Below are 15,325 nucleotides of genomic sequence, written 5' to 3' on the forward strand. Positions count from 1 at the left end.
GGCACTCCCTAGTGAGATGAACCCGGTACCTCAGATGGAAATGCAGAAATCACCCCTCTTCTGCGTCGCTCACGCTGGGAGCTGTAGACCAGAGCTGTTCCTATTCGGCCATCTTGGCTCCTCCAGAATAAACCTATTTTTTGAGGTAAGTATTATACAATTGTGAGAGGGTCATGATTCTTTTGAAGGTCAAGTTCAGATTTTCAATGCTCAGATGCATTTTTTCAGTTCTTATTAATATTCTTAAAACAAAATTGAGATTACTTTTCTTCTGAGAATTCATTGCAACCTGGAGACAGGCTTCTTTGACTATTGCTGCTGCTGCTGTTATTTATTTTTGGGTAGTACTCTTATCAGTTATTTTCTTGTATATAGAACTTCTGGCCAGAAGACAAACTGAGCAGATATAGGAATTCCCTCTTTCCACTCCAAAACTTGAGAAATGTTGAATAAAATATTTAAACATTCAAGACATATATAGCTAAGTTCAAATACAAGAAGAGAAAATCACCAGGTACCAAAAATGAAGAGAGGGCCCACACAATCCTCCTCATCTCTGTGTCAGTTGGGGGATTCTGGACCAGATATACACCTTAGAGGCTAGAGTGTTAACATCCATGAGAATGTAGGTGTACAGGTGAAAAAGATCCATTTGGGGAGCAGGAACTGGACTCCTTATTACGGCTATGAGTCTGAAAAATGCTACTCCACTCCCTACCCAGAGTTTAGGATGGAACTGAGCTGCCTGCTGCTCCAGGATGTGGATCAATACAGTTTCTTGTGAGAGATTGAACTCTCAGCCACATTTATTTTGTGGGCTCACCTGGAGCTACCTGGTGAGGAACAAACACTGGTTTGTAACCAGTAAACCAGACAAGATCCCAGCATACCTGTATTTCTATACCCACTATATGAATATTTGGTATGACAGATATTTATATTTTACTCAAATTTCCCATCCAAATGGGAAATCTGCTATAATGAATCTACATGTATTTGCCACTGAAAATATTTGTTACATGGGGGTTCAGTTGAAGATGTAGTTTCTACGACTATTATGATAGTTTCTACTGTAATGTCCTCAAGTTCACTTCTCTTTTCTTCTGCATGATTTAATCTGCTGTTAATCTCATCTAGTAATATTTTGATTTGTTATTATAATTTTAATCTCTACAAGTTCCATTGGTTCGTTCTGTATAACTCCCATTTCTCTATTCTTTACTTTCAAGTTTTTAAAAAATCGTTAAGCACGTTTAGCATCTTTATAATAATAATTAGAGTGGCTGGGTTCTGTGGCTCACGTATGTAATCCCAGCACTTTGGAAGGCCAAGGAGGGCAGTTCATTTGAGGTCAGGAGTTCGAGACCACCCTGGCCAATATGGTGAAACCCCGTCTCTACTAAAAATACAAAAATTAGCCAGGTATGGTGCAGGCACCTGTAATCCCAGCTACTTGGGAGGCTGAGGCAGGAGAATCGCTTGAACCTGGGAGGCAGAGGTTGCAATGAGCCGAGATTGCACCACTGCACTCCAGCCTGGGTGTCAGAGCCAGGCTCTGTCTCAAAAAAAATTTTTTTAATTAAAAATTAAATAATTAGAGTATAGTTCATTAACATTTAATGGAAGCTGGTTCTCGTTGCGGGTAAGATGGAATAAGTAAACTCTACTCTGTCTCTCTCTCTCTGAATATAACTAAAAATCTGGAAAGAATGCATGGAACAGCTTTCGGAGGAGTCTTAAAAGTAAAACGGAGCAGTTAGCAGGGCAAAAAAAAAACCAGAAGTCAAAGTAGGAATGATCCAGGAGTGAGTTTCATGGTTGTTGTTGTTCTTGTTTTTCTCATTTCATCCAGCCTTGTGTTAAACAGCATGAATCCCAGAACCGTGTACTGGGTGTCAACAGAAAGAGCTCCAAGAGAAACCTTCTTTTTCTTGTCTGAGGAGAGGGAAGGTGGGCACCAACAAGACATAGCATGGGAGAAATCTCCTGGGAATTTTTTTTTTTTTTCTGCTTTCTTTCTGTCTTGTCCCAGCTCCCAGGCAAACTCCAGTCCTGAATCTGCAATCTTGTGATGGTTATGTGATGAGGGTAGCAGCTGCTGGGAGGCATCTAAAACTCTGAAGGAAGGGAATTCTCTCCCATCTAGAGGAATTGTGGTCCAAATACCACAGGAGAAATTCTGTTGCTTTTTGCCCTCTCTCTGTTTTCCTGCCTCTTGGCTTCAGAGGCAGACCCAGATGTGGGAAGCAGTTGGGCAAAGAAGGGAGACCACCAAGGCTCTGTTGTTCTAGCTAGAGGACCTGGAAGGGGGATCCCTGGAAGCCAGAATGTCAGGGAGAATTGAGGAGCAGAAGTAGCTCAGGAAAGAAATCCCATGAAGTTGTGTAAGAATGCTTGGGCCTACCCTAAGCTGCACATAGGTGTATCTGACCCTAAACAGCATACCAAAGCCTTTGAGAACTAACCTATAGAGTAGACAACTGCTCAGTTTCCATATAGTGCTTTTTTTTTTTTTTTTTTTTTTTTGAGATGGGGTTTCACTCTTGTTGCCCAGGCTGGATTGCAATGGCGCGATCTCAGCTCACCACAACCTCTGCCTCCCCGGGTTCAAGCGATTCTCCTGCCTCAGACTCCCTAGTAGCTGGGATTACAGGCATGTGCCACCACACCCGGCTAATTTTGTAATTTTTTTTAGTAGAGATGGGGTTTCTCCATGTTGGTCAGGCTGGTCTTGAACTCCCGACCTCAGGTGATCCACCCGTCTCGGCCTCCCAAAGTGCTGGGATTACGGGCATGAGCCACCACACCCGGCCGATAGTGCTCTTTTAGGACAGCAAAAGAGCACTGCAAAAAGGTTTTGTAAACAACTGACATGGGAATCTAGTCCACAAAAGATGGCTCAAAACCATGATTTCTGAGGAAATGAACCAGTTCCTTGAAAGCTACAAATCACCAAAATTCACCTAAGAACAAATAGATAATTCTTGTTTTAGCAGCTACTTTAGTTGGTTGTACTCAGCCTGCAAATTCTGTCTCTTGGTTGGCAACTCAAATTTCAGTTTAGCTCTTTTATCCTTAGCTGAGCTGCTTGCAGTCTGCCCCACACATGCTTAATCAGCAATCAGATGGAGATTTGGGCAGTTCTTTTACATAGAATTTGGGAATTCTCCTCTCTGACTCTCTCTTTTATGGGATTGCCCCCTCACTTTTCTTTTTTTTTGTCTTTCCTTTTTTTTTTTTTTTTTTTTTTGAGACAGAGTTTTGCTCTGTTACCCAAGCTGGAGTGCAGTGGTACGATCTTGGCTCACTGCAACCTCCTCCTCCCGGGTTCAAGCAATTCTCTTGTGTCAGCCTCTTGAATAGCTGGGACTACAGGCACATGTCACCATGCCCAGCTAATTTTTGTATTTTTAGTAGAGATGGGGTTTCACCATATTGGTCAGGCTGGTCTCGAACTCCTGACCTCAGATGTTCCACCCACCTAGGCCTCCCAAAGTGCTGGGATTACAGGTGTGAGCCACCGCACCCAGCCTGCCCCCTCACTTCCTACTGCTTGTGGTTGAGGTCTGGTTCTTCAGGCCAGAAAGACCAAAGTTTTCTATTGCTGTCTGCATAGAATGACACAGCATTGACCATGGGCTTCCCTCAAGCTAAAGCCATAACAAAAATAAACTTACCCTATGCTTCATTCTGTCTCCCAACTTTCACCTTTCCTCCAGAATGTTACTTCATTTGTTAATTGTAAAGAGCCTTCAGGTAGTTGTTTTTCTGTATTTTGTCCCAAGTTGATAGTTATCTGCGGGAGGATTGGCCTGATAGGAGCTCACTTAGCCACATTGAAAGTAGAACTCCTTCCCATGCCATTTAATATTCTATGATATTATTTTACTTATAAAAATTAATATATTCACATGATTCAAAATTCTAAAGTACACAAGATTATACAATGAAGTCTCTCTTTCCTACCCTGTCCTGAGATACTTAGTTTTTTTTCCCATATGCAGTTCCTTATGTGTTCTTCCAGAGATGATATATGCTTAATGAAACAAATATGTAATTTTTCTTTTTTTACAGAAATGATAGCATGCTATTTACACTTTTCTCCACATAACTTTAGTTAGCAATATACGATGTAGATCAGTTAGCAATATATGATGTAGATCATTCTGTTTCAATATATACAGAACATTCTCATTTTTTAAAACAGATATGTAGTATCCTATTATTTTGTTATTCCCTTATGGTAGTATTTTAATCATTGTATAATAAAGATTGATTGTATGAATCATACTTTAGCTATCAAATCCCTGTTATTTGGGTTATTTTTAGTTTTTCATTATTGAAATTATATAACATGCTTATAGCTTATTTATATTCATATCCATGACTATTTTCTTTTCTATTTTCTTTTTTTTTTTTTTTTGAGACAGAGTCTTGCTGTGTCCCCCAGGCTGGAATGCAGTGGCACCATCTCAGCTCACTGCAACCTCTGCCTCCTGGATTCCAGCGATTCTCCTGCCTCAGCCTCCCAAGTAGCTGGGATTACAGGTGCCTGCCACCACGCCTGGCTAATTTTTTTATTTTTTGTAGAGATGGGTTTCACCGTGTTGGCCAGGCTGGTCTCTAACTTAACTGACCTCAAATGAGCCGCCCACCTTGGCCTCCCAAAGTGCTGGGATTATAGGCGTGAGCCACTGCACCCAGCCAAGCCACCGCACCCAGCCCCATGACTATTTTCTAAAAATGAGTTTGTAGTAGAATGTCAGGTCAAAGCTTATGTACATTTGAAGGTTTTTGAAACACATTGTTAAATGACCACCAGAAAAGTTACATAAATTTAAATTACTGCCAATAATATTTGAGTACCCATTTTCTAACATGCTTATCAATAGAGGATTTTTTTTCAACCTTTATAAATTTTGTAGGCAAAATGGCATGTAAATATATACACCTACTATGTACCCACAAAGAGAAATAAGAAAAAAAATGGCATGTTACAATTTTAATATTTTTTTTAGTGAAATTAGATATATTCTTACATTTACTGAAAATTTGTAATTGCTTTGTGAGTTGTTTATTAATGTATCCTTTTCCCATTTTCATGTTGGGTTATTACTAACTCTTAAAAAATAACTTCCAATGTATTTTCTCCTTTTGCTTCCAAATAATTCCAGCAAAGTAAGCTTTATTTAGATTACTGAGTGGCAGATAATTGCTAAAAGGGTCATGCTACTAATAAAAATGTGATTAATATACCCTCCTTCACTTGAAGGATAAAATGTTTGTATTAAAAAAATTTTTTTTGAGACAATGTCTCGATCCAATACTCAGGCTGGAGTGCAGTGGCGTAATCTCAGCTCACTGCAACCTCTGCCTCCTGGGTTCAAGCTATTCTCGTGCCTCAACCTCCCAAATAGCTGGGATTCCAGGTGTGCACTACCATGCTAGGCTAATTTTTGTATTTTTTGTAGAGCTAGGGTTTCACCATGTTGTTCAGGGTGGTGTCGAATTCCTGGGCTCAAACCATCTGCCCACCTTGGCCTATCAAAGTGCTGAGATTACAGGTGCGAGCCATTGTGCCTGGCTGGTAAATGGTTCTATAAAGCGGTCAGAAAGCAACTACTCTGAGATGGATCAGTGATTGATATTTGCTTCTCATGTATTCATTAAACAAATTATATGGTAGTTATTATGAGGGTGTGGCCAAAACATTAAGGAATTGATTACAACAGTACAGGATGGCTTGGTCTGGGGTCCAGGGCCACCAAGCAAGGTTATGGAGATCATGCCCTGCACAAGGGGGTAAGTAGGGCTGAAATCCAGCCCCACTATCTGCCCCAAAGAAGAGGCTCCTTTCTCTAATTTTCTTAAAGGTTAGCTAGCCCAGAAATAGCAGTGGTGGCATGGAGTTGGAGCAAAGTGGACAGATTTGGCATATACTTTGGTGGCAGAATGGACAGGACTTAATTAATTAGAGTGAAGGTTAGAGAGAGAAAGATGTCATAAATGAATACCAGGTTTCTGCTGGGAACCAGTGAACAGTTGGAAATGCCATTTGTAGAGATAGGATAGATGGAAGATTTGAGGGTAAAGAGTGTAGTTTTCCATTTTAGAAGAATCAACTACTCTGAGATAATAACCTAACCATCCCAGAGGGATGATTTGCATCTTCCTTTGTCTGAGAGGACAACTCATCCTCTTCCCTTCCTGGGTTTAGAACTTCACCCAAAAGGTGTTGGTGATTGAGGGTGGAGCATAGGGTAGGAGTAGTCTTAGGAGGTGGGCACTCCTATCTACTTGAAAGTCAAGATATTAACTCAGACCTGTAGCAAAAATAGAGTGAGACTCTAGAATAAAGCTGATGCTGTTGGATATTTTCAGTCTTTTATTGACAGGTACACAGGAAGTGGCAAAGGATCTTTTTACGTGAAGTTATGAGTACATTCCCCTGTATATATGTTTCTTTTACTTTTTATTATTAGTGTTGTTTGGTGCTAATACAGCTATTTAAATAAATCCAATCTCAGTATAAAAAAAGGAAAACGTTTGACAGAATATTTATAGAATGCCTTTACATTATTGTTTTCAAAGTAGTTAATATCTTATTTATATTTTAATTTCCAAAAGAACATGTTATAATTTGAAAAGTTTTCTGTAAAGTTTCTTAATGTTATAGTTTAATAAATAGGTTATCTAAACTATCTTTTTCCCCCATGTAGATAGATATGTAGAAAATGCTAAAGCATGTTATACTAAGGATTTTAATTTTAGACTTATTGTAAAAGGAGAGCATCAGGAAAAATAGCTAATGCATGTGGGGCGTAATACCTAGGTGATGGGTTGATAGGTGCAGCAAACCACCATGGCACACGTTTACCCATGTAACAAACCTGCATGTCCTGCACATGTATCCCGGAACTCAAAATTTAAAAAAAGAAAAAAAAAGTAGATCAGGAGTAGCTGTTGCAGCAACACCTACTCCCATTTATTAAGTGCTTTTATCAAGGGCCAGATACTGTGCTAAATGATTTAATTATATTATTCTTTTTTTTTGAGGCAGAGTCTTACACTGTCGACTGGGCTGGAATGCAGTAGCATGATCTCAGCTCACTGCAACCTCTGCCTCCCGGGTTTAAGCGATTCTCCTGCCTCAGCCTCCCAAGTAGCTGGGATTACAGGCACTCACCACCAAGCCCAGCTAATTTTTTGTATTTTTAGTAGAGACAGGGTTTCATTTTGTTGGCCAGGCTGGTGTCAAACTTCTGACCTCATGATCCGCCCACCTCGGCCTCCCAAAGTGCTGGAATTACAGGCGTCAGCCGCCGCACCTGGCCTAATTATATTATTCTCTAAGCAACCATGTGAAATAGATATCTTCATTTTACAAATGAAGAAACCAGCAGTGTTTGTGCTCTTCTCTATGAAACTGAAAAAAATGGACTTTCTTACTTGTCGTATTTTTCTCTCAGCACCTAATTCATTATGTTGTGTGTGCTTAGTAAGTATTGAATAAATTAACAAAGTATTGTTAGTTGATTTGAATTAAATTGTAATTTGCAGATAGCTTAACAAAGATCACTGTTGCATACTTTTTGCTAGTAATAAACTTAAAGGCTCAGGAAATAAATTTAGCAGATATTCTTTAAAAATGAAGAACAACAATGCATAATCAAGATGGAGAGGAAAATGCCAAGAATTCTAAGGTTTAGGGTAATTGGACAAAAGAAAGAAAGAAAAAAGAAATAATTATAAGCCAATTAGCTACTACATCATAATAATAATTCAGTTATATTTAAGAATAACTGAATCATAGATTTGAAATGCATACATGATTATAGGAATAGATGCATCTGACATGAAACTTACTTTTTCTCAAGTGTGAAATATAGTTCATCTAGCTTTCTGTGCTTTGACAAAAGAATATGTCTTTCTAATACTTTCACAGAAAATTGTCTACCAGTACGTTATAGTTAATTTTTCCTATGATTTTTCTAGTTAGAACAGCCTACCTCTCTTCTTTCCAACTATCCCTACCTGATAGCTGTTAACTGTGCTGCATGTATATCCAAATTGAATCTATATTCACTCATATATTTTAAATAACTAGCTTAAATTGCAATGAAATTACACCCTATGTTTTGCATTTATTTTACTGAACCCTGCCACTGCAGTCTCAGTACTTACTCAGTGCTTGCTAGTGGATTACTTATGGCTATCCCACTCAAGTGATCATGTAAATCCTCCTTTCATTTTGAGAATTGTAGGTTTTGAATACAGAAAATATTTTCATAATACCTGTATTATCACAGTATTATGGTTCTGACACTGTTTTTTATTAAAACTTGCCATTTATAGGAATTTGGATTTGAATCATTTTTAAGGCTCACTAGGTGTTGAAACTATGTGCCTGATATATAGGTGTGGATGGCAGGTTTTTGCTTTATTGTTTAGTTTTAATATTAAGGGCTGCTTTTAGGCGCACCTTCTTTACTGTGTTTTTCAAAACTAACAGAAATATATTATTTCTGTAACAAGTTATCTATAAATTCAATAAGTTATTTTTCTTGATTTTGAAGTAATGGCTATATTGTGGAGAAACTGGATAAGAGAATGTAGACTTGTATAAATCTGTTGTCATTAACATAAAATAGTTGGTAGCCTGCATAATTAACTGAGGGCAGAACATTAGATTATTTTATATGGAAGTCAGTTTTAATTTGAAATATTGTGAATTACAATTTGGATACAGGCTTGCTGTGAGCTTTTTCTTTTAATTCCCAATTATGGGAATAGTTGGGGGAGAGATTCTTGCTTTTCATGCTCTCTTTGTTTTTATGAGTTACTTCATTTTTTAATTCTTTTACTGTCATTATAGGGTTTTGAGAGAGAGGAAGGAGATACCTGTGTTTAATCAACCATATTAAATGAAAGTTTTTTTGTTTCTTTAGAACTCATGGAAATACAATAATTAAACATTTCCATATAAAGTATCTAAAAATATCTGTTGGCAGAAACTATGTTTTGTGATTGATTGAGTGATTGACAGGGTCTTGCACTGTCGCCCAGGCTGGAGTGCGGTGGCACGATCATAGTTTACTGTAACCTCAATCTCCTGGGCTTAAACAATCCTCCTGCCTCAGCCTCCTGAGAAGCTGGAACTACAGGCATGCATTACCACACCTGGCTAAATTTTTTTTTTTGGTAATAGACGGCGGACTTGCCATGTTGCCCAGGCTGGTCTCAAACTCCTGGGCTCACAGTATCAAGTGATACTCCTGCCTCAGACTCCCAAACTGGTGGGATTACAGGCATAAGCCAGCTTGCCTGGCCTGTGTTTTTTGTTGTTGTTGTTGTTTTTTAAACTGTACTTGTTACTTGTTACCTGGATTCACCACATTCATTACTGTTATTAAGAAATTGGTACTACTTCAGGATAAAAAGAGACTTATGTATTTAATAAATGGGAGGCATAATAGTGCAGTGGAGTGGTTAAAAAGCACAGGGCTGGTTATGAAGGAGTAACTGGTATTAGACCAACTTCCTTCCAGGAATAGCTATGAGATCTGCAGGGAAAAAACCTCTCTTGTTGGAAGACATGGATGAATACCCAAAAGAGTACACAAAAGAGTAGAGACGAAGGGCCTAGATCCTGAAGGCTGAGAGAAGACTCTACACATTGAGAAGACCTTGACTTTCTGTGTCACAGTTTCTTAACGCAATTGCCAACTTCTAAGCAGCACATAGGTAGGATGAGACACAACACTGAGAAATCAAGCAGAAAGTAGCTGCTAGGAGCCTTAAAAGCTAAGCAGAGATTTTTTTTTGCAGTCTCACAAGGCCTTAGGGACAAAAATTTGACTGGAGGGCCAGCCGAGAAGAAGGTACCTGGGAAATACCCCTAAGCTTTCAATTGAGATCCCAGAAATGCTACTCCTTAGGAAGAGTAAGAACAAACAAGGGATAGACTAGTCTCAACACTGGATCAAGGTAATCTACCTATATTCTATCTGGTTGCCAAAAGAATATTAAATGCTCTGCGAAAGAAAATATCATGCAGAGCCTCTGTAAAATTTCATTCAATGGAAAGTATCAGGCATGCTAAGAAATAAGACCAAATGACTGAAAACCAAGAGAAAAAGTAGATAGTAGAAACTGACCCACAGGCTGTCTACACATTAGCTTTATTGGAAACAGACTTTGAAATTACTATTATATATTCAAAATAATTAGAAGAAAAGATGGAGAATTTCATCAGGGAACTGGAGTCTGTAAAAGAACCAAATGGAAATAATACAACTGAAAAATTATAACTGAAATTAAGAATCCAATAGATTGATTTAACAACAGATTAGGTATAACAGGAGAAAAACATTAGTGAACTGGAGGATCAGTAGAAAAGATTCCAATTCAAACAGAAATAAAAGTTTAGAAAATATAGACAAGGATCTGAGAAGCATGTATAGGACTCAGTGAAAAGGTCTCACATACATAAGATTGGAGACTCAACAGGAAAGGGGAGAGAAAATAGGGAAGGGCAAAAGCAATAGTTGAAGGATACTGGCCAAGAATTTCCCCAAACTGATAAAAGTCATCAAGCAACAGCCTCAAGAAGCTCTGCAAATCCCGAGAAGGACAAATAAGAGGAAGCCACACCTAGGCCCATCATAGTAAGATTTCTGAGGGGGAAAAAAGACAGAAAAATCTGAAACACATCCAGAGGAAAAAAAATATCTTCAAGGAACAAATATAAAGCTGACAGCTAACTTTTCAACAGAAGGGAGGGGATTCTAAAGATTGTAAAATGACAACTTTAAGGTGATGGAGAAAGATAAACTACTAATTTAGAATTGTATATCTAGTGAAAAATATCCTCTAAAAATAGAGGTGAAATAAAACAGAGAATTACTAGCTAATTGGCACTAAAAGAAATGCTAACGGGCATTCTTCAGGCAGATAGAAGCAAGGTACGCAGGAGTAGATGAAGAGCAACAGAAACAGTAAATACATAGGTAAAACTAGACAAACATTGTTGAAAATAATAATAACTTTCTAACCAATGGCCACAGCTGCAGTGCTTAAAGTCTATTGTGCATGGATTTCATGGAGCACTCTATTTTTCACAGGATGCTTTTAGCCAGTGACTGAGAGCAGCAGGGAGACAAAGGCAGGTCCATTCTAGGGATACACAGGACTCCTCTAATGGCTGACTTGGATCAAGGACTCCCTGACAGCCTGGCCCAGCTTTCCTTAGATGGCATGGCAGCCTGGGATACTTCTCCAACTTCTCTTCCTTCTCTACTAAACTCAGACTTCAGATTGTATCATAGTCTGATGATTCTCTGAGGCTTTCCAGGTTCCCTCCCCATTTTCTGTCACAGGCATTTCTCCTAAAATATTTGATCCCATGTTGTGGCATCTGCTTCTCAGAAGACCCAGACGAACACAGTAGAAATTAAAGTGCATTAGAATAGCACAAAAGATAGGCAGTAATTGGAGCTAAGTTCTGTATGGGTCCTGCTTGCGTTAATTGGTAAGTGGTAAAGAGTTAATTTAAGGCCCACTGTAGTAAATCAAGAGAAAGTAATAAGATTTTTTTAAGTGTATAAATAATAAGCTGATGGGAGAACTGGAGTAATAAATAATTGATAAAAAGAAGACAAGAATGGAGAAAAAGAGACAAAGAATAGATGGAATATATAGAAAACTAATAATAAAATGGTCTACTTAAATCCAAATCATCAGTAACTATATTATATTTACTTAATTTTTTCAATTAAAGACAAAAGCCTAGGCACAGTGGCTCATTTCTGTAATCCTGGCACTTTGGGAGGCTGATGGGGGAGGATTGCTTAAGGCCAGGCATTGGAGACCAGCCTGGGCAACATAGCAAGACCCCCATCTCTACAGAAAAATTTTAAAATTAGCAGGCATAGGCTGGGTGCAGTGGCTCACACCTGTAATCCCAGCACTTCGGGAGGCCGAGCTGGGGAGGATCACCTGAGGTCAGGAGTTCAAGACCAGCCTGGCCAACATGGTGAAACCCTGTCTCTACCAAAAATACAAAAATTAGTTGGGCATGGTGACATGCGACTTTAGTCCCAGCTACTTGGGAGGCTGAGGCACGAGAATCACTTGAACCCAGGAGACAGAGATTGCAGTGAGCCAAGATTGCACCACTGCACTCTAGCCTGACAGAACAAGACTCTGTCTCAAAAAAAAAAAAAAAAAATTCTGTAAGGGCAATGGGATTGAATATATTTTTGCGTTATTAATTCCTTTTTCTAGGGATTTTTTTACCTGTTACAATGGCTTTGAGACTTTGCATAGTTTATATTTAAAATAACATACCTTTCCTGTGACAGTGGAATGAATCTAATTGTAGTTGATACAAAGTTTGTTTATAGTCAGTCTCTTAATTTATGTCAAGACTAATATCTCACATATTATCAGTAGAGAAAGCAGTTCATATTTGCAAGGCATCCGTATATGCATATGTATTTGATGATTTTAAAAATTATTTCTCTAGGAAATATAACTTTTGAAACAATGATGGAAATTCTTCGAGATAAACCAAGTGGCATTAATATGGAGGGAGAATTCCTGACCACTGCAAGCATGGTTTCTATTTTACCTCAAGACTCCAGCCTTCCTTGCATTCACTTCTTTACAGGGACTCCTGATCCTGAGAGGTGAAGCCACAAAATACTATAAACCAGCAAGGGGTCAGGGGATGGAGTAGAGTCATTAGTATGTTAATAATTTTGTCAGGATAAATTTTTGTTATACAACTAGGACAATAATTTTTAATATATTTTCTGTTCAGGCTTTAATCTGCAATATCCACAAATGTGTAACTGTTCTCTTTTTATGGGAAGGAAATGTGAATAGTTTCTTGTATGCGTTATCCCTACTCCTTCTTCGTACAAATAGATTTAACATAGTCAAGAAAAGAAAGTAGATAGATTTTCTTACTCACATTTCAGATATGATATTAGATAATTCATAACAGTAAAAATGTTAAATGATGTAGTTGTGCAGGATTTACTTATGCACTTGTATCTAGAAAATACATGTGAAACTTAAAATATCAATAGTTCCAGTTTTATTTAATTATTATTATTACTATTTTGAGACAGAGTCTCGCTCTGTCACCCAGGTTGGAGTGCAATGGCATGATCTCAGCTCACTGCAACCTCTGCCTCCCAAGTTCAAGAGATTCTCATGCCTCAGCCTCCCTAGTAGCTGGGATTACATGCGTGCGCCACCACACCCAGCTAATTTTTTGTATTTTTAGTAGAGACAGGGTTTCACTGTGTTAGCCAGGATGGTCTTGATCTCCTGACTTTGTGATCCGCCCACCTCGGCCTCCCAACATGCTGGGATTACAGGCGTGAGCCACCGCACCCGGCCAAGTCTTCCTTTTTTTTTTTTTTTTTTTTTTTTTTGACACAGGGCCTTGCTCTGTCACCCAGGCTAGAATGGAGTGCAGTGGCACAGTCAGCATGCTGTAGCCTTGAACTCCTGGGCTCGAGTGATCCTCCTGCCTTAGCTTCCCAAATAGCTGGTACTGCAGGTGCATGCCACCATGCCTGGCTAATTTTTAATTTTTTTGTGGAGATGGGGTTCTGGCTATGTTGCCCAAGGCTATTCTTGAACTCCTGGTCTCAAGAGATTCTCCCACCTTGACCTCTGAAAGTGCTGGGATTACAGGCATGAGCCACTGTGCCCAGCATGTGTCCTCCTTTACTGACACTGGCGCTGATGTTCACCCCAAGTCCTAATCCTCTTCTGTAACATTAAAGGTTGTTCTTATCCTCCAACTGTGGAATGTGAAGTAGGAAAGACAAACTATTACTTTGCTGACACTGTTTATGTGCCAGGTCCTCTGTTAGGTTCATGGGAACACAACACTAAATAAAGTATGGTTCCCTGCCCCAAAGGAGATCCCAGTGTCCCCAGGGAAGACAGGCATGGGTATAACTAATGTGACAGGAACAAGTTAGTATGTAGCATCATTAACAGAAACTTCTAATTGAGAGAATCTTAGAAGACTTAGACTAACACTGAATATTTTTATATATTGACATGATAATTTAATAAAGACTCTTTTTTCTAGATCTGTTTTTAAGCCTTTCATATTTGTGCCACATATTTCACAACTATTGGATACCAGTTCACCAACATTTGAACTTGAAGATCTAGTTAAAAAGAAATCACATTTTAAGCCTGACAGAAGACACCCACTCTACCAAAAACATCAACAGGCATTGGAAGTAGTAAATAATAATGAGGTATGCTAGATTATATTCTTTGTTATATCATTAAGTGTAAAGTTAGATTCAATCCGTATTTTGAACTTTGGAGTATCAGCTTTCCTCCCTTCTTATAAGAAATAGTTTTAGGAATAGTTTAGATGCTCAGACTATAGTAGAGCTGTATTATTTTTATCTTTGGTTATGAATACATGTATGTGAATCTTGTAGAGAAACTTAGTACATTAAACATAATAATAATAGCTAACATTTGTTGAACACTTACATAGCACTTTTACATGAATTATTTTATCTAATCTTCACAACCACTTTATGAAATGGGTACTATTTTGATTCCCACTTTGCTGATAAAGTATCTGAGTCTAGGAGAGTTTGAGTAACTTGCTTAGTATATATCCCACACCAAAAATTACAAAGCCTCCAAAGAGCGGTTGACCTGGTTTCTTAACGTAATGTTCTTGATGATACAGACCCAGATTAAAATTAATTGAAAGTGACTTAAAACCCCAGAGACTTAAAATAATAATGAGTTTTAGTTTTTAAAAAGTGATACATCCTCATTATTTTAAAATGTAAGCATTATATAAGAGCAATATATCACTCAAAATCTCTTCTCTAGAAATAAGGATTTATTTTTTTCTGGTATAGATAGATAGGTCATTTTATAATGTCTATACCTATTCAGCTCGCTAAAGAAAAATAATGGATAAGAAGCGAATAGAAAGGCTGCCTAAAGCCATCCATCTGTTGACCCCCTGCAATGAAAGAAAACATTAACCATCTTAAATCTTTTCTCGTCTGTTTCTACCTCCTGGTTTTTCTTGCCTGTAATTCCTTTTACTTTGTCAAGGCATATACATTTACATTCTGTCCACACTGAAACGGATTAAATGAATTTTCCTCCAGGTAATAATTTATTTATTTTTGTCTGCAGTGTTGGCATTGTTTCTATGCCTTTTTTTCTCTCACCTATTTCACTTATGCTCAAAGCAACAAGCTCTGCCAGACTTCTTATTTTTATTTGAAAATTTTTATTTAAATTTTTTATTTTT

General features: G+C 38.2%; 1 protein-coding gene across 11 annotated transcripts in view; it reads left to right on the plus strand.

Annotated features, from left to right (window-relative positions):
• Nucleotides 1–15,325, plus strand: part of SCRN3 (secernin 3) — a 34,342-nt gene that overhangs the window by 14,629 nt on the left and 4,388 nt on the right. For all 11 annotated transcript variants that reach the window (NM_001412202.1, NM_001412204.1, NM_001412208.1 and 8 more), the window contains 2 exons: nt 12,527–12,689; nt 14,117–14,291. In NM_001412202.1, the coding sequence (NP_001399131.1) occupies nt 12,527–12,689; nt 14,117–14,291 (338 nt within the window). The remainder of the gene's footprint in view (nt 1–12,526; nt 12,690–14,116; nt 14,292–15,325) is intronic.

Source organism: Homo sapiens, chromosome 2, assembly GCF_000001405.40.
Source record: "Homo sapiens chromosome 2, GRCh38.p14 Primary Assembly".
Lineage (NCBI taxonomy): Eukaryota > Metazoa > Chordata > Mammalia > Primates > Hominidae > Homo > Homo sapiens.